At 52.1% G+C, this 21,373-nt stretch overlaps 1 protein-coding gene and 1 long non-coding RNA gene across 5 annotated transcripts in view, besides 5 other annotated features; one reads left to right on the forward strand and one right to left on the reverse strand.

The window, feature by feature from the left end:
* Positions 1 to 15,533, forward strand: NOP14-AS1 (NOP14 antisense RNA 1). Its single transcript, NR_015453.2, has 4 exons — positions 1 to 2,597; positions 3,148 to 3,247; positions 11,328 to 11,575; positions 14,608 to 15,533. It is a non-coding gene; the product is annotated as an NOP14 antisense RNA 1 (long non-coding RNA).
* Positions 118 to 1,317: an enhancer, noted in NCBI's record as "P300/CBP strongly-dependent group 1 enhancer chr4:2937390-2938589 (GRCh37/hg19 assembly coordinates)". NCBI's record gives its function as "activates an origin of replication core promoter dependent on BRD2, BRD4, P300/CBP, MED14 and CDK7 cofactors, with strong dependence on P300/CBP, by STARR-seq in HCT116 cells {active_cell/tissue: HCT116}" and the evidence as "EXISTENCE:reporter gene assay evidence [ECO:0000049][PMID:35650434]".
* Positions 118 to 1,359: a biological region, named in NCBI's record as "P300/CBP strongly-dependent group 1 enhancer GRCh37_chr4:2937390-2938589".
* Positions 1,120 to 1,359: an enhancer, noted in NCBI's record as "active region_21203". NCBI's record gives its function as "activates an Ori minimal core promoter by ATAC-STARR-seq in GM12878 lymphoblastoid cells {active_cell/tissue: GM12878}" and the evidence as "EXISTENCE:reporter gene assay evidence [ECO:0000049][PMID:35858748]".
* Positions 1,830 to 2,249: an enhancer, noted in NCBI's record as "active region_21204". NCBI's record gives its function as "activates an Ori minimal core promoter by ATAC-STARR-seq in GM12878 lymphoblastoid cells {active_cell/tissue: GM12878}" and the evidence as "EXISTENCE:reporter gene assay evidence [ECO:0000049][PMID:35858748]".
* Positions 2,391 to 21,373, reverse strand: part of NOP14 (NOP14 nucleolar protein) — a 25,471-nt gene continuing 6,488 nt past the window's right edge. Inside the window, exons 3-19 of one of the 4 annotated variants that reach the window (NM_003703.3) lie at positions 21,125 to 21,266; positions 18,879 to 19,018; positions 17,966 to 18,100; positions 16,730 to 16,852; positions 15,569 to 15,700; positions 14,389 to 14,668; positions 12,733 to 12,863; positions 11,981 to 12,066; positions 10,867 to 11,002; positions 9,583 to 9,684; positions 8,528 to 8,681; positions 6,647 to 6,806; positions 6,037 to 6,184; positions 3,982 to 4,100; positions 3,643 to 3,798; positions 3,267 to 3,385; positions 2,391 to 2,643 (exon numbers count right to left, since the gene is read on the reverse strand). In NM_003703.3, the coding sequence (NP_003694.1) occupies positions 3,286 to 3,385; positions 3,643 to 3,798; positions 3,982 to 4,100; positions 6,037 to 6,184; positions 6,647 to 6,806; positions 8,528 to 8,681; positions 9,583 to 9,684; positions 10,867 to 11,002; positions 11,981 to 12,066; positions 12,733 to 12,863; positions 14,389 to 14,668; positions 15,569 to 15,700; positions 16,730 to 16,852; positions 17,966 to 18,100; positions 18,879 to 19,018; positions 21,125 to 21,266 (2,244 nt within the window). In that variant the 3' untranslated portion in view covers positions 2,391 to 2,643; positions 3,267 to 3,285. Of the gene's footprint in view, positions 3,386 to 3,642; positions 3,799 to 3,981; positions 4,101 to 6,036; positions 6,185 to 6,646; positions 6,807 to 8,527; positions 8,682 to 9,582; positions 9,685 to 10,866; positions 11,003 to 11,980; positions 12,067 to 12,732; positions 12,864 to 14,388; positions 14,669 to 15,568; positions 15,701 to 16,729; positions 16,853 to 17,965; positions 18,101 to 18,878; positions 19,019 to 21,124; positions 21,267 to 21,373 lie in introns of those variants that run through there. The other 3 variants (NM_001291978.2, NM_001291979.2, XM_047416338.1) reach the window with 3 other exon arrangements.
* Positions 11,090 to 12,289: an enhancer, noted in NCBI's record as "BRD4-independent group 4 enhancer chr4:2948362-2949561 (GRCh37/hg19 assembly coordinates)". NCBI's record gives its function as "activates an origin of replication core promoter dependent on BRD2, P300/CBP, MED14 and CDK7 cofactors, and independent of BRD4, by STARR-seq in HCT116 cells {active_cell/tissue: HCT116}" and the evidence as "EXISTENCE:reporter gene assay evidence [ECO:0000049][PMID:35650434]".

The following is a 21,373-nucleotide window of genomic DNA, read 5'->3' on the forward strand; positions in this document are numbered from 1 at the left end:
GCTTTGGGCCTGGCTGGAGCACACTCACGGAACCACGCCAACGCCTGGCCTGTAGCCAGCTCCCACCTCCCCTCCCACCTTCTAAAATGCTTGCGGATCTCACGTGGCCGACCCTAACCAGATACACATGGGGAAAGGAATCAGGTGGCACACATACCGCCTTTACTCCATAGAGAACTTCCAATTGTGGGTAAGAACAAAGCCCCACCTCTTCCTAATAGATGCAGTTTTCCACCTGCAGCCAAAAAGACAACCTGTTATTAGCTTTTTTCCCAGAGGACAGGCATCTCTATGAAACTGCCATTGCAAAATTTGCCGACAGTGAGATAACCAGCTCCATTTTGCTTCTAACCTCCATGCCCTCCTTGTTTACTGCTGCACGCAGGTTGAACTGTGGGAGGAACTTAGTTTAAAACAAAGATGATAACAGCCCTTTCCCAAAGGAAACCTTTCCTGGGGATTAGCCTGCTTTTGTGGGACCAACAGATTAGCCACAAGATTAGAAACTACGGTTGAAGAGTCACGCAGCGGGAGGCTACAGGATTCTGACCCTCCCCAAACTGCTCCTGGCGATAACATCACCATCGTAAAGCCTAAGATCAGCACTTGGTGGGTCACCTGGCACCACCCAGGCTCATCTGATGTTGTGGCACCCAGGAACTGACTCAGTGCGAAAACAGCTTCGACTCCCTGTGATTTCATCTCTGACCTGACCAATGGGTACTTCTGACTCACTGGCTGCCCCCCACCCACCAGCTTATCTTTAAAAACTCCAAACCCCAGATGCTCAGGGAGACCGAGTAATAATAAAACTCCAGTCTCCCACACAGCTAGCTCTGCGTGAATTACCTTTTCTCTGTTGCAAATGCCCTTTCTTGATAAATTGGCTGTCTAGGTAACAGGGAAGGTGAACCCACTGGGCAGTTACACTTTTATCCACCCTTCCAGCTGGATCACGCGCCCTCTTCAATGACATGACACGCAGCTAGAGTGTATGAGCTTGCTGCCGGCACCTTCCGTCCTGGATCGCATAGCAAGGCCTCAATGGACAGCCAGGTGCCTGGTCCGGTCCCACTTTTTTTTCTGTCCTGTTCTCGTTTCCTCTTTGCTTGGCCAAAGAGGGTTGGGCCAGGGTCCTGAGTGCAAAGGCTTGGCTTGGTGAATTAAAGTGGCAGTAGCCGTGTGGCAGAGAAAATTTGTAGATGGGTGAAATCCTGGGCCTACACAGTGACAAAGTGTATATAGACAGCCAGCCTAGTTGGTGGATGTGACAACCCCAGACTCTTCTAGATTTGTGGATCCGTGCACCTGCCAGACCTGTCTCTGAGCCATCTGGGGAGGCTGGGTAAGATTTCCCCCGTCAGGGCCTGAGCCTCATCTCCAAGCTGCTGGCTTCAGCCCAGCTGCCACCAGCGCTGTCTCTGTCTTGCGCTTTCCAGAGAGAGACTGACTCATTTTGAGCTCCAGGCCTACCAGGCAGCCCAACCGCGGCAGTAACTGCCTCTCACACTGAGGATGGCTCATGCTCTGGTCCAGCCATGGCTTGAACACCTCCCAACAAGAACAAAGCCAGACTCATTCTCCCTAGCATCTTCTTCCTTGCTCAAAGATCCCACACCCCGTTAGAAGCTGGAACTGGGTCCTTGTCACCTTCCTCACCTCCCCAGTCGTAGTCTGGTTAATCCTTACATCTCACCACGGTCACCGTGGCTAGATGTGACCTCCGCGATGCTTCAGGCACGTACCAGGGCAGCCTGGGCAGGGCTGGTCACTGTGATCTCATGAGGTGTGAACTTGACCCCGGCCTTCTTTCCTGGGATGCCGGCTAAGGACACAAGTTCAGTGTTTGCCCTGGCTTGTAGCCCAGCGGGGGCTCCGTCATCCCCTGGGGAATGCCTCGGCCTGCAAGACCGCATACCGCATTGGAACAGGGAAACCACCTACTTCAGCACCTCCCTCAGCAAGGTGGCAGGTCCCAACAAGCCTTGCACCACGAGGAAGTGGCAGTGGCATTCGGGATATGGCTCCCTGGCCAGCTTGTGAAGTTCAAGGGGCTCGTTACTTCTTACAGCTCACAGTCCCTCCCGGGTCCAGCACACCTGAGGGCTGACCTCCCTCTTGATTAGTGCAGGGGAAAAGCACTTTAAAAAGCTGTGTCATGCGTAACTTGCACATCTTCTGATTCTGACCTGAAACTGCATCCCAGGTCGGCACAGACGCAACCCAGTCTCCTCCCACCTCCGAGAGTGCAGTGTCCTGAATGGAGAACCCCAGCACCCAGAAGCATCCACTGAAGGACGTAAGTAGGACAAGGCCAACTGTGGCTGTTCCAGCAGAGGGACTGTGGGTGATGTTTCCCTTCTCTGATTTCTAAAATATCTGCAAACTTGTTTCATTTATAATTGAAAATATAATTTGCATAACAACAGTAAATTCTACACATGAAGGCAAACGTCCGTGGTTGACAGAAATTACACTGGCCAGAATCCCCAGTCCCCATGAGGCTTGTCCAGACGCAGTGAACCAGTCGCAGCTGATAACACACAGACCATTCCCGATCCCAGAGGTGCATTTCAGGATTCATTCTATTTCATCAGGTGACGTTTTAACAGAAACAAAACCGCAGGCAGCGGGTGGGGGGAGCTGGAGGTTGGAATCACACCAACATTATAGCATTATTACTCTAAAAAAAATTACTTTTTTGGCTGGGTGCTGTGGCTCACACCTATAATTGGGGGGCCAAGGCAGGTGGATTACCTGAGGTCGGGAATTCGAGACCAGCCTGACCAACATGGAGAAACCCCGTCTCTACTAAAAATACAAAATTAGCTGGGCGTGGTGGCACATGTCTGTAATCCCAGCTACTCGGGAGGCTGAGGCAGGAGAATCGCTTGAACCCAGGAGGTGGAGGTTGTGCCATTGCACTCCAGCCTGGGCAACAAGAGCAAAACTCCGTCTCAAAAAAAAAAATTTTTTTTTAAGCGACACAGTCTTGCACTGTGGCCGAGGCTGGAGTGCAGTGGCTCAATCACGGCTCACTGTAACCTTGGACTCAGCTCAAGCAGTCCTCCTGCTTCAGCCTCCCGAGTAGTTGGGACTACAGGTGCGTGCCACCACACTTGGCTAATTTTTATGTTTTTTTGGTAGAGACGGGGTCTTCCTGTGTTGCCCAGGCTGGTCTCGAACTCCTGGGCTGAAGCAATCTTCCTGCCTTGGCCTCCCAGAGGGTTGGAATTGCAGATGTGAGGTAATGTCCAGTTCCTTGCCTTATTTATAAAATGTAATTTATTTTTTGAACTTTTTCCTCTTCAGAGCCTTCCATTCGCCTTCCTGTGTAGCCAGGCTGTTAAAAAGCTGCTTTACTTTCCGCTTTCTTTCCGCATCCCTAAAAGAAACAAAAGGCAAATGCCCATTTTTGGATTAGTTCTTGGAGAGCATCTTGCCCTCTCTCTCCCACATCAGAACCACATTAGCCACCGTGGCCACGTTCAGTTCAAACAGGGGGAAGTGAACCTGCCTGGCTCCAACCCCCAGCCAGAGCCAAGGCTGTGGGATGCCAGGTGCCCGGTGCTCTGCCCAGGGCCACACAGCACCAAAGCTGAGTGACACCACAATCGTGTCGCACACACACGTCCCCCTCACCGTTCCATGATTTCTGAGAGTTGCATCCTCGCCAGGAACTGATTGTCCTTGCGGATTTCTCGAACGGCCCCTTTAAATTCACGCTTGTGTTTGTGGATCAGCCTCTTCCTTTCCTGTTCCTCCTTACTACTGCCTTGTTTTCTTCCAAACTCGAGGCTACAACCAGAAAGCCACTGTTAAGGAAGCAAGAGTCTGTCCCCACCTCTCAGCCAGAGCCTGCTTGGGAGTGTGGCTTCACTCCGTAGTCATCTGCTCAACTGCAGAACTGGCAGACGCCCCCCGTCAGCTCCCACTGAGCCCACAGCCCTGGCCTCCCAGGGAGATGCTGCCAGCACCCACACTTTGACCAGCCGGGGTGTGAAAAGCTTCAGTGGGACAGGCTTGCTCTTCTCACAGGTCAGCGGCCGGCAGAGCTGCTTCTGGCTTTCCATTTCGGTCAGTGTGCTCTGACACAGCTCCTGAAAAACACGAAATCCCCGACTCTGCGATGACTCACCTGCTGCGTGCCCTGAGCTCCACGCACGGGTTCTGTGGTGTCAAGGCAGCGTGAGGACAGTGCTGCGAGCTCCCTGCAGCAGGATGGTGCCCTTGCTGTGCGCCTACCGGTGGGCGGGGGGGTAAGCCAAGGCTGTGGCTGCTCAAGTCCTGGCACAGCCGGAACGAAGTAAAGCCACTGTCTTCTTGAAGAGGGAGGGCCGTGGGCTGGCCCCTGAGAGCACTCTCTGAAAGGAGGGGACTTGGGGAGTTGGAGGTCACCATAGCCTGTGCTCCTCACAGCCAGAAACGTCAACAGAACCCCTCTTTCCCAGACAAACTTGGCACGAAAGGCCGTGAGCCACTTGCTTCGTGAGAAGGCTCACAGGAGAACCCCTTTCTGCCGCGGGGGGCCGTGTGCATGCTAGAGCCCAGTGTGCAAACTGACGCTGGGTGCTAGGCGGGGCAGGGTTTCCACCAGTCTTGGCAGTTTGACCTTATTTTCAAGCCAACAGAACCAGATGGTTAAGACCCATTTTCACCAAGACCTTGGCTTCCAGAAGAGTTGGCTGGTGGCTTCTGAGGAATCTCCCGAAAGGTAGTTCACTGAGGTTGGTCCTACCCGCTTTCTCCTGCACAGGTGTGTCCTGGAACCCTGGCTGCACCCACAGATACAGCCACTCCTGGGCCCATGTGGATGTAACCTTCGAGTGCCGGAATGCCTCGTCTCCATGGAGACCAAACTCAAGGGCCTGACTGGCCCAGTCTACCGAGACCATGAGACCTGCTGTGCCCCTCGGCCAGGCCAACCCAAATTCTTTTAAATAAAAGGCACAAGCCACAGCCACACCAGCAGGAAGTGGATACAGGATAAGGGGCAGGGCTCACATCTCATCCTCATCAGCCTTTGACCAGGCGACGGAGTCTGTGATAGCTAGCTTATCTGCTCTATGCTCCAGGGACCTGGCCGGAACGAGCCGAGTTGCTGTCCTCATGGAACTCTCATCCTAGTGGGGCAGAGACAAGGACGGTGTAACGTGCCCGGGGGTCAGCACCACAGACAAAACGCAGGGAGCACGGCACAGTGTGGGCCAGGGAAGGCCTGGCTTCCCAAGGGTGTGGGCGCGAGCAGCATGGCTGTGGGGAGTTCTAGGTGCAGAGAACTACTCCAGAGACGAAGCCAGGCCTGCGAGGAGGCCGGAGCGCATGAGGGGAAGGCACGAGGCAAGGCTGCCAGGGCTGTGCTGGTGGTGCGGGACGGTCCTGTGGGGGTAGCTGCGGAGATGGCACTGATGCCTTCGGCTCCAGCAGCATCCTGGGCTGGTGCGGGCCAATAAGGGGCAGGGTTGGGGCAGGATGAAAGGCACAAGCCACAGCCATGTCAAGCAGGAAGTGGATGCAGGGTACAGCCTGTCAGGGTCAGGGTGAAAGGCAGGGAGGCGGGTAGGCCATAGGTGAATTTGGAGCAGCCTGTAGAGGACAGGATGTGCCATCAAAGACTTGTTCTTGGGTCCAGCTGAGACTGTCCCTTGGGGCTTCCTGTCACCTTGTGCAGGATAGTGAGACCATCCTTGGAAAACCCATCGGGACTGCAGAGCGCGGCTCAGAGCTGACTGTCCAGGCCTGGCAGGGGCTGACCCCTGGGCGCTGGTGCACCCTCCGTGCGGCCTCTTGGAGGAAGCACACAAGGCGACAGTTCCCAGCTGCCGCCTGAGATGCAGCATCTGCTTTACTCCAGCCCAGCACTGCTCACCGTCACTGCCCACTCTTATGATTTTACTTCCCTTCATATTTGTGATTTTGCAAAGATGGTGTTGACTTACAGCTGCAGCATCAAATGACTGACTGCCACCAGCTTGGCCCCAGCTCAGGGACATGTCTGAGCCCAGGCAGAGCACCCTAGTGGCCGGGAAGCCTCACCTGGAGCTCCTGCGGGTGGCTGCAGTCCGCCAGGTGATCCGTGAGGAGGGCTTGGAGAGGCCCCATGATGGCGTGGAAGGATGGCAGGGACCCGTACATGAGCACGCAGCGCTTCAGCAGGGCCAGGCCCACAGCCAGGCAGGACAGTCTGTGAGGGCAGGAGGCAAGAGGAGGTCCAACTTGTTCTGTTTGTCACTGACAAAACCAATAACGTGGCAAAAATGAACTTCCCCACTTCCACTAGGCTGAAAACTCCAGTGTGGCCACCTTGGCCGGCCAGGGTTGGGCCCATGCAACCACGGGCAAGGCAGGCTCAGGGTCAGGCCTAACGCAGGAGGGGAGGCTGTGGGAACCGCAGCGCCAGCTGGGATGGGGCGGCTCCATTTTTGGTTCCAAATTATGATTTGTGAAATCAAGCAAATGTATTTTGAAAATGAAAAGAAAAAGGGACAGCAAGCCAACATGCCTCAGAAAGGCTTTCGGCCTCCATCAAACCAAACGGCCGGGCGGCAAGTTCACTAAGAACAGCACATCAGAAAGCACGAGTGGCTTCTCCTGCCTCTGGGGACGCTGTAGGGCACAGGCCCCAAAGCGGGGTCCCCTCACATACCGGATGTGATTGGCCTCTGTCGAAGTTGGGGCCCTCAGTCTACTCGCCCAGCGGAGGGAGAGGCTGCTCTGCTGCCACGTGGCCACATCCTCTCTAGCAGACACCACGAGCAGTTCCGAGTTCTTCCCAAGCGCTCTGAAAGGGTGCACCAGAGTGGAACCTGAATTCCAAGTGCGACAGGACAGAGATGGCCTGAACATTACTGGGCTCCCAGCAGGCTCTGCGGCACCGAGCCTGTGGAAGTTCACCCTCTAACAGACGCACACCGATTTTTATGTTTCTGGGTTGTGCCAGACACTGAGGGTTTCAGCGTGGGCAGGGACACCTCAGGGGAGGGGAAAAGCTTTGGCAGGGGGCGCGGTGAGAGCCAAGTGCCTGATCCTGCCTGAGAGGCCTGCTGGCCACAGACTTCCTGGGGCCTACTAGGCACACATGGGGCTGATGAGGCGCTCAGGCCACATCCGGGAACAGACTGAAGTCCCTGCCCCTGTCGGGGAGACAGGCAGTGCACAGCACCCAGAGGAGCAAATGGACCAGACAGAACACGAGAAAGGAAAGTGGAGGGGCAGGAGGGAGACAGGAGAGTCAGTCGGGGGTGACGGTGGAGGGCGGGAGAGGCCTGAGGGGCAGACGTCAGCAAAGGCCTGTAGGACGCAGGAGTCAATTCACTCGCCACGGAGAAGGGCAATCCAGGCCGAGGGTGTGGCTACACGGGGAGGGGTGGAGAGTGGGTACAGTGGGGCAGAGGTGCCGGGCCAAGCGAGAGGGGAAGGCGTGGGTCAGGCCCCGCCCCACACTTCCCCAAAGCCGAGATGCCCACCCCTTCCTTGACTCCACCTGTGCCCAGCCTGTTCCGTCACAGCCCTTCACACGTGGGACTGCAGCTATCTACAGGTGGCTCTCCCGGAGGCAGGGAGCATGTGGGCGGCCGCGCCCCTCTGGCGCCCAGCACCGAGCCTGACAGACAGGAGCCTTGGGAGGCAGGTGGTGGCAGAATGGGAGCACTGAACCGGAAGAGTGGGCCAGACCCCTCTTGGAAGGGACTCTGCTGGTGGTGTGAATGATGCCACAGCACCTGCTCCTCAGGTCAGTCCCCTGGACATGCAGGCGCTTAGCACTGCACGGTGAGCTGGAAATAGAGGACAGGGGTCTGAGCCTTGAGGTCCAACCTCTGGTCAGGCTGGGAGAGGCGTCCACAGACATGGAAGAGCTCAGGAAGAGGCTGTGCAGCTCCTCACCCCCCAGAGGGAAGCAGCAAGTGCTGAGGAAGCATCCAGGAGCAGGGCTGGCATCAGGGGAAGGGGGAGGAGCACAGGGGCTGGGGTGAGGGCCCAGGAGGGCAGCCAGTGTGCAGACTGCTCCTCATCCCAACACTGCTCTTGCCGCCCTCGCTCCTGAATTCAGAGCGTTAAGAGAAGCGACACAGCAGCGCGGCCTGTGTGAGCTGCACGAGAACTTTCACACTGCCTTGTCGTCACGTGAGAAAAAGTAAAAAGTTAAGATTGATTTTAACAATAGACCTTATCTAACCCCAAATACCAAAATATTATGATTTTAACACATAATACAAAAAATTAAGATATTTTAAGTATTTCTGACACTAAGTCTTCGCCACTTGGGCATATGTCACAGGTAGGGTACGTCTCAGTTCAGACTCTGGCCCCTGGCAACCACGCTGGACAGCACAGGTCACCGGTAGCACTGCTTTTCCCCATGTGGCGCGTGCACACGCTCACACAGAGGGACAGACAGTGCGGCGGGTGGCAGGTTGTGTGTTTCCTCTACTTTCGCATATTCTAAACTTTCTACAATGAGTATGAACTACTTAAAAAAATTCTAAAGTATAACATATTTGTAGGAACCTCCCTCAAATCAACTCACCTTGGCTTGCTTTGTTTGGAGTTGCTATGTAAAGAATCCCAAGAAGAAAATTAATAAGCTCAGGTATAAACCTCTGGGACAAAGCCACATACTCCAGGAACAGGCAGCACACGAACAGGCCCTTCACCACGTCCTGGAGGGACAGGATGGGGCACTGGAAAGGAACATATGGGGGGTTACTGTCCTGGGACGATGTCATGCCATGCTAGGCCGACCACCGGGCTTCCCTGATGAACCACGCACCCCACTGAGCTTCACAAGTACAGAGGGAACCCCCGCACCTTATAGCAGTGTCGAGAGCATCAAATGAGATGAAAACAAGATAAAGAGCTTTAGTGATTTTTTTTTCCCGAGACGGAGTTTCACTCTTACCACCCAGGCTGGAGTGCAATGGCACAATCTCGGCTCACTGCAACCTCCACCTCCCGGGTTCAAGTGATTTTCCTGCCTCAGTCTCCCGAGTAGCTGGGATTACAGGCATGTGGCACCACACCCAGCTAATTTTTGTATTTTTAGTAGAGACGGGGTTTCGCCATGTTGGCCACACTGGTCTTGAACTCCCGACCTCAGGTGATCCGCCCGCCTCAGCCTCCGAAAGTGCTGGGATTACAGGCGTGAGCCACCGCGCCTGGCCAGAGCTATACTGATTATAAAGTTCCTTCCACCCATACAGAGCGTACGATTACTGCACTAAGCATGTACCAATCACATGCCTAATAAAGAAAAAGGAACAGCTTGAACTTTTTAAGCCAAAAAGGGAACAAAAGCCCTTATCATCACACTGGATAACTTCACCACTAACTTGAAAGGTTGTTTTCTGGGGTAGCACCATCTGTAACCTTGAGGTGCCAAACCAGGCCCTCCCACTCCCACCCACATCTGGGGCTGCTCGAGCCGGGGCTCTTTTAGATGGGCCCTCTTTGGCCTAACCGCAGTGCTCGGTCTCTGCAGCCCTTAAACAGCCACACTCATGTTCCACAAGGCCCCGAGGGGCTGTGGCTCCGGCCACCCGTGGTGCAGCAGGCCGACCCCTGCCGCATGTGGAGAGAACGCACCTTGGTGAGCAGCTGACTGAGGCACACGAGGGCAGGGGTCACCACTGGGTGCCAGAAGTCGGAAGTTGGAAATAGCAGCCCAGTGATTTTCAAATAAATGAGCTGGAAAGAAAGTGTTACCACAGGTTAAAGAAGGTAAATGAAGTCCATCCATATGCCCTCCCCGCAAACACTCCGGAGCCAAGAACAGGATCTGGCGAGGAGAGGGTGCATCTCCTTGGCCCAGAGCTCTGGCCTCAGTGTCACAGAACAGGCGTCCAACCACCGTGGGTCAACCAGCTAAACGTGCAGTGAGGACACTGAGGCCCATGAAGACTTCAAAGCAGTCAACAATGGTTATAGACACGGGCTCAGATCATGTTTTGGGGAGTTGATTAAAAATCACTAACCTAAGTCCTACATTTTTAAGCTTCTGCTAACTATTGTGAATCCATTTCAACACAAACACCAGGCAACAGAATAAAGAGCGTATCTCAGCAAGTATTTCCTTAAAGTTACTAAAGCTGAAAATACAGCATGAGGCTGTTATAAAATTGTTAAAAATCTCAGCGTACAAATGTCTCCCAACCTTTGAATAACATAGAAACCGAGACCAATTTAAACCAGCCCACAGGCTTGGGCCCTTAAGGACAATACCGTGGTTCTATTTGCCTTCCAATGTTTTTGTCACTGGACCAAATACAGCACCATTCACGTGGAATCAAACCAGAATCTCCCTGCACGACCCACACGTTAGTCCATGGCTAGTGGAGGAGTGCCCTCCCCTCCCAGGCTCGCTGCCGTGCACTCTCACTCCAGATCACCCTCACTGCCGTGCACTCTCACTCCAGATCACCCTCACTGCCGTGCACTCTCACTCCAGATCACCCTCACTGCCGTGCACTCTCACTCCAGATCACCCTCACTGCCGTGCACTCTCACTCCAGATCACCCTCACTGCCGTGCACTCTCACTCCAGATCACCCTCACTGCCGTGCACTCTCACTCCAGATCACCCTCGCTGCCGTGCACTCACTCCAGATCACCCTCACTGCCGTGCACTCTCCAGATCACCCTCACTGCCGTGCACTCTCCAGATCACCCTCACTGCCGTGCACTCTCACTCCAGATCACCCTCACTGCCGTGCACTCTCACTCCAGATCACCCTCGCTGCCGTGCAGCTCACTCCACATCACCCTGGAAGCACAGGGTACAGCCAAGAGCATCGTACCCGTCGTCCACCTTCTGTGATGCCAAACAGAACTTCTGTGGCAGGGGCAGTGCCTAGACTGAACTCTGCTTACCACATCCAACCCTGGCAATGCCGCCCGGCCTTTGGTCTCAATCATTTCTTCCATCTCATGCATCGCATCTCGGAGAACAAATTTGATAGCGTCACTTGCAGATTCAGGAAACATCTGGCAAAGATGATATAAGTGCCTGTTAAGCAGAAATGTAAAGTCAGGAGAGAATGACTTTAGATAAGAAACACAGAAAAGCCCTGCAAGCCACTTTCCTATGCAGTCACCTGTTGACTGAGCAAGTAAGAACTGGATGAATCCGCTTTTTCTAACAGCATTCTTAAGAGTCTACACTCACTTCTGCCATTTCCTAAAAACTCGGCCATAACATTATGGACTGGAGGTGGTGGGAGAAACAGCTCGATTTGTGGTACAGACGTTGTTGGGGGCACCACTCTGTGTGGCAGCTGCAGCTGACAGCTCCAAGGCACTTTCCATATTAACTCATTTATTCCTCACGACAGGTACTTCTTTGATAGTGCCTCCATGCATGCAGAAGATGACGTGGAGAGCTCCGCGCGGCACAGGGCAGGAAGCTGGTGTGCACTCTCATGGATCCGAAGCCAACACACGCCTCTCAACTGAGGACTCTGCCCCTCTGGCATTCTTCCAGCCACCAGCCCTGGGGGCCAGGAGCCACTGAGTGGGTCACACAGCCTTAGAGGGCAACGAGGGCAGGAGCTCGCCCTGGCGGTCCCCATGCAGACAAGAGGTACACACTCCCTGGCATGCAAAGCCACCCAACTGGGTTTCACTGAAGGGTGAGGGGCGGGGTGTCTACCGTGCTTTCCAAATACCGCTCAGTCACCCAGAGCTTGAAACTTACAATGAGCCACCCCATCCCAGCCACAAATCTAAAGGGGTTCACTTGTTTCAAAATCAACTTGTTTGTGGTTAAAAGTCAGTCCCAGCTCTACAGTGGCTGGAGCGGCACGTGTGAGAAGCCGGCTTGCGCTGTGAGGCTCACAAGCCCTGGGTGACCACCTGCCCACTTGGCATGCTGACACCATCATTCCACCTACCTTAGTAACTCTGGAATGTATTTTTATGACTCTAAATGGGAGAAAAATTGTTCTGCTTAACCCCACATCCCAGATGACACACCATTTTTACTTACACAACCAACTTATCAATGACTGTGAGGTCTGGTGGGTCATCTGTAGCCAAATCGCCAACGTATTCCAAAAGAAAGCCAAACAGTTTCTGCAGGAACATGAATTGGGAAATAAAGCTCAGTGCTCAGCACCAAGAACAAAGCCACAGGCACACAGCTTCTGGATCACGTACATTCTGGTGACAACCAGGTGGGGCAGGGGAGCCCAGGGTGACAGACACGAGCAGCCTTCTAAAATGTAAGCAAATACACTGCTAGAACTTGCTAAGCACTAGAAGGTGTAGGGGGGAGAAAGCTAAGGGCAAGGCGCATCCTTCTACAGAACAGCTGACAACACACCACTAGGAAAGCACGACGAGGAACACGGGCAGCACGGCGTCCTCCTCACAGGCAATATCCACCATTCACTGAAAGAGGCACGATCACAGCCACCTATCTGCCACAGCAAAGTCTGGCTCTGCCACACGCTGGCTATGTGAACCCTAGTGTCCTCCCCTGTGAGATGAAGGTGAAGGTCCCCATGCCTGCCTCTGGCTGGGTCTGGCACGAGGCCTAGAGAGGGGCCAAAGCCAAGGGAGGCCTCTGCCGGTGCCATACCAAGTACTCCCAGCCATCATCATAGGTAACCATGTGACGGGCTGGCCCCATCTGGCCTGAGGCACACATGGCCGTTGCACAACTTCACACAATTCTGGCATTCATATACGGGGCTATGCTGACACTCCCAGCGCTCCACACACACTCAATCCACGTACTTCTAATTTTGCTTTGTTTCCTTCTGCGAGACTCGGGTGGTTGCACTTCTGAATTCTCTCCACCACCAAAAGCTGCTCTTCCATCGATCTTCCTAACAACAGAGATCTCAGTTCCTCATAGGATTCAGGGGCTATCAAAAACACAAAACATACTGCACATTTAACATTTATATATATGTATATATATTTATTTTTGAGATGGAGTCTCGCTCTGTTGCCCAGGCTGGAGTGCAGTGGTGCAATCTCAGCTCACTGAAACTTCCGCCTCCTGGGTTCAAGAGATTCTCCTGCCCCAGCCTGCTGAGTAGCTGGGATTACAGGCACTCGCCACCATGCCCGGCTAATTTTTGTATTTTCAGTAGAGACAGGGCTTCACCGTGTTGGCCAGGCTGGTCTTGAGCTCCTGACCTCAGGTGATCCGCCTGCCTAGGCCTCCCAAAGTGCTGGGATTACAGGCATGAGCCACCGCACCTGGCCCACATTTCACATTTAAAATGAGAATTACTTACATGTCTGCTGACAGAGAGGTAATTTTATATAACTATTCTACTTCACGATCACAACAAACCCACCAGCGTTTGCCCTGGTACACCTGGAGGGGTCTCAGCCATCCTGACCTGGGCTGTCAGGTGCGATCACGCACCTGGGAACAGGCTAATAAGGAAATGCCCTCCCACCTTTCCTTGATTAGGAATTTGCTAAAACACCCACAGTTTCAGAGCATCTTGGTGGCAGGGTGCTGGGTTTAGTGCCCAGACTGCTTCAGAAGGACCTGGAAGGAGCCACTGTGAGCCAAGCAGTGTCAGCTCAGGAGACTCTTGCCACCAGAGGGCACTTCACAGAGGCCAGCTTCACCACTAGCTTCTCCTCTGGAAGCGTCTGGCAGGCACAGAATAATTCGGCATTGCTTACTAGAACCTGACCATTTTTCTTTTCTTTGTTTTGAGACAGGGTCTTGCTCTGTCACCCAGGCTAGAGTGCAGTGGTGTAATCTCGGCTCACTGCAACCTCCGCCTCCCAGGCTCAAGTGATCCTCCCACCTCAGCCTCCTGACCAGCTAGGAACACAGGCACAAGCTATTGCACCAGGCTTATTTTTTATATTTTTGGTAGAGACGAGGTTTCGCAATGTTGCCCAGGCTGGTCTCAAACTCCAAGGCTCAAGTGACCCACCCACCTTGGCCTCCCAAAGTGTTGGGATTATAGGCATCAGCCACGCACCTGGCCTGGACAATTTTTCTCCACATACTAGACAAAACAACACTGTATATTCCATCTAAAATGTTACGTGGCCAAACAGGAGGCCCAGGTGGGAACATGGAAGCCTTCTCGCAGATGCTCACCCACCTCCCCAGCCCTGCCCCTCTGGTCCACCACAAGAGGCTGACCATATACTAAAAGGGAGGTGAAGGTACCACTAGAGAGAGGCGCATCTGGCCCATCGGGGGCCGGCCTACAGAACCACAGTCACAAACTAAGATGACCACTCACTCTAAGACCTGGATCAGCAGACACAGGGGTGTGTCCAGGCACTCCCAAGGGCATCCTTGGTCCCCATTCCACAAATGCAACCCCTGGGAGGGAGACGAACACACACAGCTATGGCCAGGTCATAAAGGTTATCCCAGAACCTGAGGAAACCCGCGCACTTGCCCACCTGCGAACGTGTAGGGCAGCTCGTCTCTGGTAGCTTTTCCAGCTCTTTCCTTGCCGCTTATCAACCCTTTCCCAGGAGTCTGCCTCTGCTCTTTTGCTGGCTTCTCGTTTTCTTCCTCACTCTCCACGTTGGATTCCAGGTCCAAGTGGCTATCTGGGCTGTCGCTCTCCTCTGTGTCCTCCCCGCCTGAACTGTCACCTTCTTCCTCGTTGCTCTCAGGGTCACTGGCTTCCTTGCTTTGCTCTTCCTGGACATCTTCCTCGACATTCATCTTTCCATCCTACCAAGAGCGTGGAAACCACAGGGCATGAGGACAGGCGGAGACAACGCTGGACCATCTCACAGCCACATCAAGAGGCTGCCCACATCAGGGCTTTCTACGTGGTTGCAAGGAACACAAACCTGTGTGCTCCATTTGCCCACTGGCACTAGGCCTCCTGCCCACCACCCGCTTCTAGGCTATTCGAGCCGCAGGAGCTACAGGCTGCTAGAGAACCCTGCGGCAGGATGCTGGGCGCGGTTCAGCTTTTGCCAGGGAGCAGCATGGGACTGGGATTTGGAAGGTGTACAGTGGCTGCGGGCTTTAGCAGGAGGAGTGTCTACAGCACCTTCTGCTCCTCCAGGTAACCTAGTGTTTTTATCAGTATCCATTTTCCTGTGTGGATCTCTTCTGCTTGAAACCTGTCCTGCCTATTTTTCTTCCCTGGACCCTGACTGATACACTCTTAAAACGAGAAAAGGGTACCGATTTATAAAGTTCGTGAATTAAAAACTACACCAGTCATGGAAACTCAATGACATCACTCAAAGAAAATTCACAACTCTAGCCTTGAGTTAGCTCCCTCAATAGTATGATGAGGTCATGCAGATAGAATCATACAGTTATTAACAAAAGTAGTTGATGTTAACCGAGTAATCAGTTTTATCTGTGTTCCTTTGAGACAGAGAGAGAGAGTGAGAAAGAGAGCGTGAGCAAGTGAGTGCACATACTATTGTTAAAGTCTTCTCTCTAAAGTTTTAATATCTGATATACCATAAACACCCAGATAAAGAACTTTAGAGAAACTGGTTAAAAAGATTTAAAATTCCCAACTGTAATAAATCCCTAAAATGAATACCAAAAAAATGTTTTTAAATTAAAAAAAGAGAGAGAAAGAGAAAATGAAGGCAAACATCTTACTTTGTAGGAAAGCAAACGCCTGTCATCTTTATCTAGCACGAAGCCATCATTCAGATCATCTGCTGACATATGTTTTGGTTTCTTAACATTTTCATCCTCATCCTTTCCAAGCATTCTTCGAAGTCTCTCAGCCTGAGCAGGAAGGAATGAGATGTCTTAGAGCACACTCTTCCAACATATGGTGAGGGGGCCGTGCAGTCCTGCCCTGGGCAGCGGGCTGGGCCTACGGTCCTCCCAGCTCTGAGGCTGGTGCATCCAGCCTGCTTTCTGCCTGCAGTTTTCAATCAGGCATGCAAACACTAGCTAAGCAGCACATTCCTCATTTAACAAAATCAACTGTTCAAACTTTGTGGCCAATACTCTCCAGTCACCAGGCAAGCCTATTATTCTGAGGCCTTCACAGCCCAATTCTGCTGGCCAGCCCCGACTGGGACTCATCACCCCCTGCACCGAGAGAATAGGAGCCAGGACGCCAAGAGCAAGCAGCTCCACGGCCTCCACTATTTGACCACACACTGGACACGGGAAGAAGCTAGTGATGTGGTTATGTCAAAACAGCCAGCTGAGCCAGCTGTGATGGCAGCCCACACCTGTAACCCCAGCACTGTGGGAGGCCGTGGTGGGAGGATCAGCTGAGACCAGGAGTTTGAGAACAGCCTAGGCAACATAGGGAGATGCTCATCTATACAAACAATTTTTGAAAATTAGCTGGGGCCAGGCGCGGTGGCTCACACCTGTAATCCCAGCACTTTGGGAGGCCGAGGTGACTGGATCACCTGAGGTCAGGAGTTCAAGACCGCCTGGCCAACATGGCGAAATCCTATCTCTACTAAAAATACAAAAATTAGCCGGGCGTGGTGGCAGGCGCCTGTAATCCTAGCTACTCAGGAGGCTGAGGCAGGAGAATCACTTGAACCCAGGAGGTGGAGTTTGCAGTGAGCCAAGATTGTGCCACTGTACTCTAGCTGGGTGACAGAGCGAAACTCTGTCTCAAAGAAAAAAAAAAAAAAAGGTATTCATGAATAAATATAAACTTTAAATAGACTAAAATATTCCACTGATCAAACAGAGTATTCTCTTCAGCCCATCCTGCAAAATGGAGCAGAAGGGGCTGTGGACGGACAGCAGCACAGCCCTGCTCCTGAGGTGCTGCCACCCTACCTCCAGCTTCCTGAGGTGCTCCTGCTCTTCCTTTGCCAATTCTGCCTCCGTCTTCATCCTGTTAGAGGGCTGCGCCTTCATTTCAAAGCCAAGCTCGCGAACCATCATGTCATATGCATCGGGCTAAGGTAGAAAGAAGAAATTCTTCATTTTAAAAATATATTTATTTCTTATTTTACAAAAAGAAAAGATCTAGCTTCCTGGCACATTCTAGTAATGGCTAGATAATGTTATTGAAGTAGCTAAGCCACATCTACGTCTTTTCTTCTAGAGAGAAAACTGTTCTGATAAGCCCTGAGGATTGCGAAATCAGTGGACATTCGGTCACAAAGAATTTGTTTACCCCTAGAAAAATTCTCAGAATACATCTGCTTTAACGAAAACAGGCCAGGTGCAGTGGCTCACGCCTGTAATCCCAGCACTTTGGGAGGCCAAGGTGGGCAGATCACGTGAGGTCAGGAGTTTGAGATCAGCCTGGCCCAACATGGTGAAACCCTGTCTTTACTAAAAATACAAAAATTAGTCAAGCATGGTGGCACGCGCCTGTAATCCCAGCTACCCGGGAGGCTGAGGCAAGAGAATCACTTGAACCCAGGAGGTGGAGGTTGCAGTGAGGTGGAGGTTGCACTACACTCCAGCCTGGGTGACAGAGCGAGACTCCGTCTCAAACAACAACAAAAACGCTACTTATCCAGGCATTACGCCCTAAACGTGGGAAACTAAGTAAAGTAACGGTAACATCAAGGCTGACTGACAAAGATGCACAGATGACCACATGACACTAATCTGCTGGGATCTAGACTTCTCTGAGAACGCAGTTTCTTAAACAAATGCAGCATTTTCCAATAGTTTCGACTAAAGAGAATGCAGTAGGAAACAACTGTTTACAGAGGCAAAAATAAGTAAATGTATATTAAATGTATGTATTATGTATCAACAGACAAACATGTCACAGGGAAGTTCAGACACCTATTCTAACGTGTCCACCCTGAAGTACTTCTTCCATCCAGAAACACCACTTTTTTCAGTTTAATTCACCTGCAATAGAGACTCAAGTAACTGAATCTACTTCCACCCCAAGATTACACACAGCAGGTAATTCAGTATCAATGTTCAACAGAAACTTGCCCTAAAGGAGACAGGTAGAAGAGCCGTCCAGCCCCAGCCCTTTCTCTGGAGAAAGTCGGTCACCCAAGCTCAGTGAGTGAAGAGTTTGTTTCAGTACTTGGCTCCCACCTTGGGTTTTTCCTTTTTGTCTCTGTTCTCTGACTTGGGAGTTTTGTGGGACAGGAGAGTCTGAATTTCTTTCCAGTCTTGGTCTAGCTTCTCCGTGAGCTCGAGGGCATCTTCTCGTTGAGCTTGTCTCTCCCTCTGGGGAAAAAATAACAGACACACACCACATACCGTTACTACTGGACTTCAACCCAGAGGCCCAATGTCAGTGCCAAGGACACACACAGTGATCACTCAGTTGGCACCAAACGTTTCAACACAGAAAAGAGGCCAGGAGAAATGAGTATTTTAAATGCAAAGCTACCAAATCTCATCAGACGGAAATCTTTTCCTGCCATAAACCATTAATTTAGATGCTCTGAGCAGTTCACTGCAAATGAATAAAAAAGTGATTTTTTGGGCACATGTCAGATACTAAAACCAGCAACAACAAAAAACCCATCCGCGCCAGGTGCAGTGGCCCACCCTGTGCTTTAGAACTAGGCCAAGGTGGGAGAACTGCTTGAGCCTGGTCGACACAGCACGATCCCCATCTCTACAAAAAGTAATTAGCTGAGCATGGTGGCGCCCACTAGCTACTTGGGGAGCTGAGGTGGGAGGATCACTGGATCCTTGAGCCCAGGAGTTTGAGGCCACAGTGAGCTTTGATCGTGCCACTGTACTCCAGCCCGGGAAACAGAGACTACGTCTCAAAATAAAACAAAACATAAACCAAAAAAAGGCAAAAGAACCAAAACCTGTCCGAGGTATATGCTTTATGTGATTTTTAAAATTCCTACTCACAATAAATGCTTTTACTGAACTCATATAAAATATTAAACACAGCCTAAAAAGGTACAGGAAAAAAAAGCTCAAACACATTTTGGTGAGCCTGTCTTACCGTGGAGAAGATGATCAAGAACACTCACTAACCCACCTTCTCTTGTTTTGACTTGGCAATGAGCTCTTCAATCAGCTCTTTCCGGGACTTCGGTTTCTCCCGCTCCTCGCCTTCCTGTTGAGTCTTCTTGTGAAGGAGCCCACCGCCTCCTCCAAAGTGGGCAGCAGTCAGCTCAGCTGGGGGCAAAAGGCAGAAAACCCCACAGTGAAGCCCAGCCCTGGCGTGGGAAGTGTTTCCTGTAGCACTCTGCCAGTGCTTCCCCCATAGTGGTCTGGAAAAGTCCACATTTGAGAAAAAAATGCTCACACGCAACAGCCTGGCCTGAGACCACAGGCACAATGGCACTTGAGAAATACCCAAGGTAAGCCACTCTGAGAAAACCCAGACCCATTACACTCCCAACTGGCCGTAACCCAAGTGGCTGGAAACACCCAGCACCTATTTTTGATTGTGCTGGTTCTAGCGAAGACTGGCAAACCCAGAGCAAGCTGACTCCAGGGTCTTGGTGGGAGCGTCGCCCAGGATCAGTGGTGCAATCTGTGTCCCTCCCACCTCCCTGGGCAGGGCCTGGAGACTCTAGTCACCTGTACCACGGCGCCCCCTCTAGTCACCTGCACGCCACGGCGCCCCCTCTAGTCACCTCCACGCCACGGCGCCCCCTCTAGTCACCTGCACGCCACGGCGCTCCCTCTAGTCACCTGCGCCACGGCGCCCCCTCTAGTCACCTGCGCCACAGCGCCCCCTCTAGTCACCTGCACCCCACGGCGCCCCCTCTAGTCACCTGCACGCCACGGCGCCCCCTCTAGTCACCTGGACCACGGCGCCCCCTCTAGTCACCTGCACGCCACAGCGCCCCCTCTAGTCACCTGCACCACGGCGCCCTCTAGTCACCTGCACCACAGCGCCCCCTCTAGTCACCTGCACGCCACGGCGCCCCCTCTAGTCACCTGCACGCCACGGCGCCCCCTCTAGTCACCTGGACCACGGCGCCCCCTCTAGTCACCTGCACGCCACGGCGCCCCCTCTAGTCACCTGCACCACGGCGCCCTCTAGTCACCTGCACCACAGCGCCCCCTCTAGTCACCTGCACGCCACGGCGCCCCCTCTAGTCACCTGCACCACAGCGCCCCCTCTAGTCACCTGCACGCCACGGCGCCCCCTCTAGTCACCTGCACGCCACGGCGCCCCCTCTAGTCACCTGCGCCACAGCGCCTCCTGGCAATGAGGGGAAGGCCACTCGCCCAACTCACACCAAGGCAGTTACCTCCAGTCTCGGGGAATTAGGATCTCCCCAGGGAATGCGTTTTATAGCTAAGGGTCCACGAGAAGTCTTGAACAATGAAAAGAGCAAAGACAAAGGCACAGAGGGGTTAAAATAACTGGCCATTCTCTTCACGCCCGTGAAGCCGAGCAGTGGCGGGGCCTCCTGGTGTGCCGCAGATGGCGGGTTCTGCACCACATGCTTGCTGCCCTAATTCCTAAGCCTTTTACCCCCTGGATTAGCCAAATATCAGAAGGCAGCCCCAGGCTTTAACGCCTTAACTTTCACACACTGACAAGACAAAGCTTTGAGAGTCAGTTTTAGATTTGTACACCTTTGTTCTGAAGATGCTGGAAATGGGACCTACTTTAACTTACAAGAAATGTCAAGTAATTGATGTCATGACTGCAACCTTATAAATAGGGTTCAAGACAGTCAGACCCGAACTGAATCTTAAACTCTGTTAACATTATTTAAGGCCAAAATTTATCTGTTTCATGTTGTTATCTACAGATATGAGGCTCAATATGATTTTCCTCAAACTGCTATAATTCCACAGTAGGTAAAAGCTAAAGGAACTACATCAATGCCACTGGTACAAATATTAGGCTGGAATTGATAAAGTAGGGGGAGCAAAGTAGTGCATTCAGTGAGGCACCTGGAGTCAGTGAGGTGGGTTCTCCCCACAGCTCTGACTCTGGCATCGGGCAAAACACCTTATTTCTCTGAGCTCATGGGTAGAACGAGCTATTTTGAGGTTCAAATAAAATAATGGATATCAACATGCTTTCTTGGCCCATAAAAGCATCTATCTACACACCATCTTAAAGTTCTGAAAACTTAAAAAAAAAACAAAAATACATAAAAACTGTCACTTGTGAAATTTGTAGAGAGGTTAATGATCAGTAAAACTTTCATGCAATAACTTTCTCTAGTCTCTAAGAAGAGCAGAAGGTCTAACAATGAACAGACTCTCCCTGACTCCACGCCCACAGGCCCGTGCACAGCACCCCAGCCTCACCAGACAACGTTCCTCGATCCTCAGCATCGCTGTCACTGTCCACAATGTCATTATGCTTCTCGATGTCTGCCAAAGACTGGCCATAATGAGTCAATTCTTCATCTTCATTTAGATTGTAGATGCTTTTTTTCTCATGATGTCGCTGACAGAAGAGAAAAAAAGTTTCCTAAAATTACCACTTCCATTTCACAGCAAAAAAAAAAAGATAAGGTAGATATATATATTTCCATTATATTTGAAATATGACAA

The sequence above is a fragment of the Homo sapiens genome, chromosome 4 (assembly GCF_000001405.40).
Source record: "Homo sapiens chromosome 4, GRCh38.p14 Primary Assembly".
Classification (NCBI taxonomy): domain Eukaryota; kingdom Metazoa; phylum Chordata; class Mammalia; order Primates; family Hominidae; genus Homo; species Homo sapiens.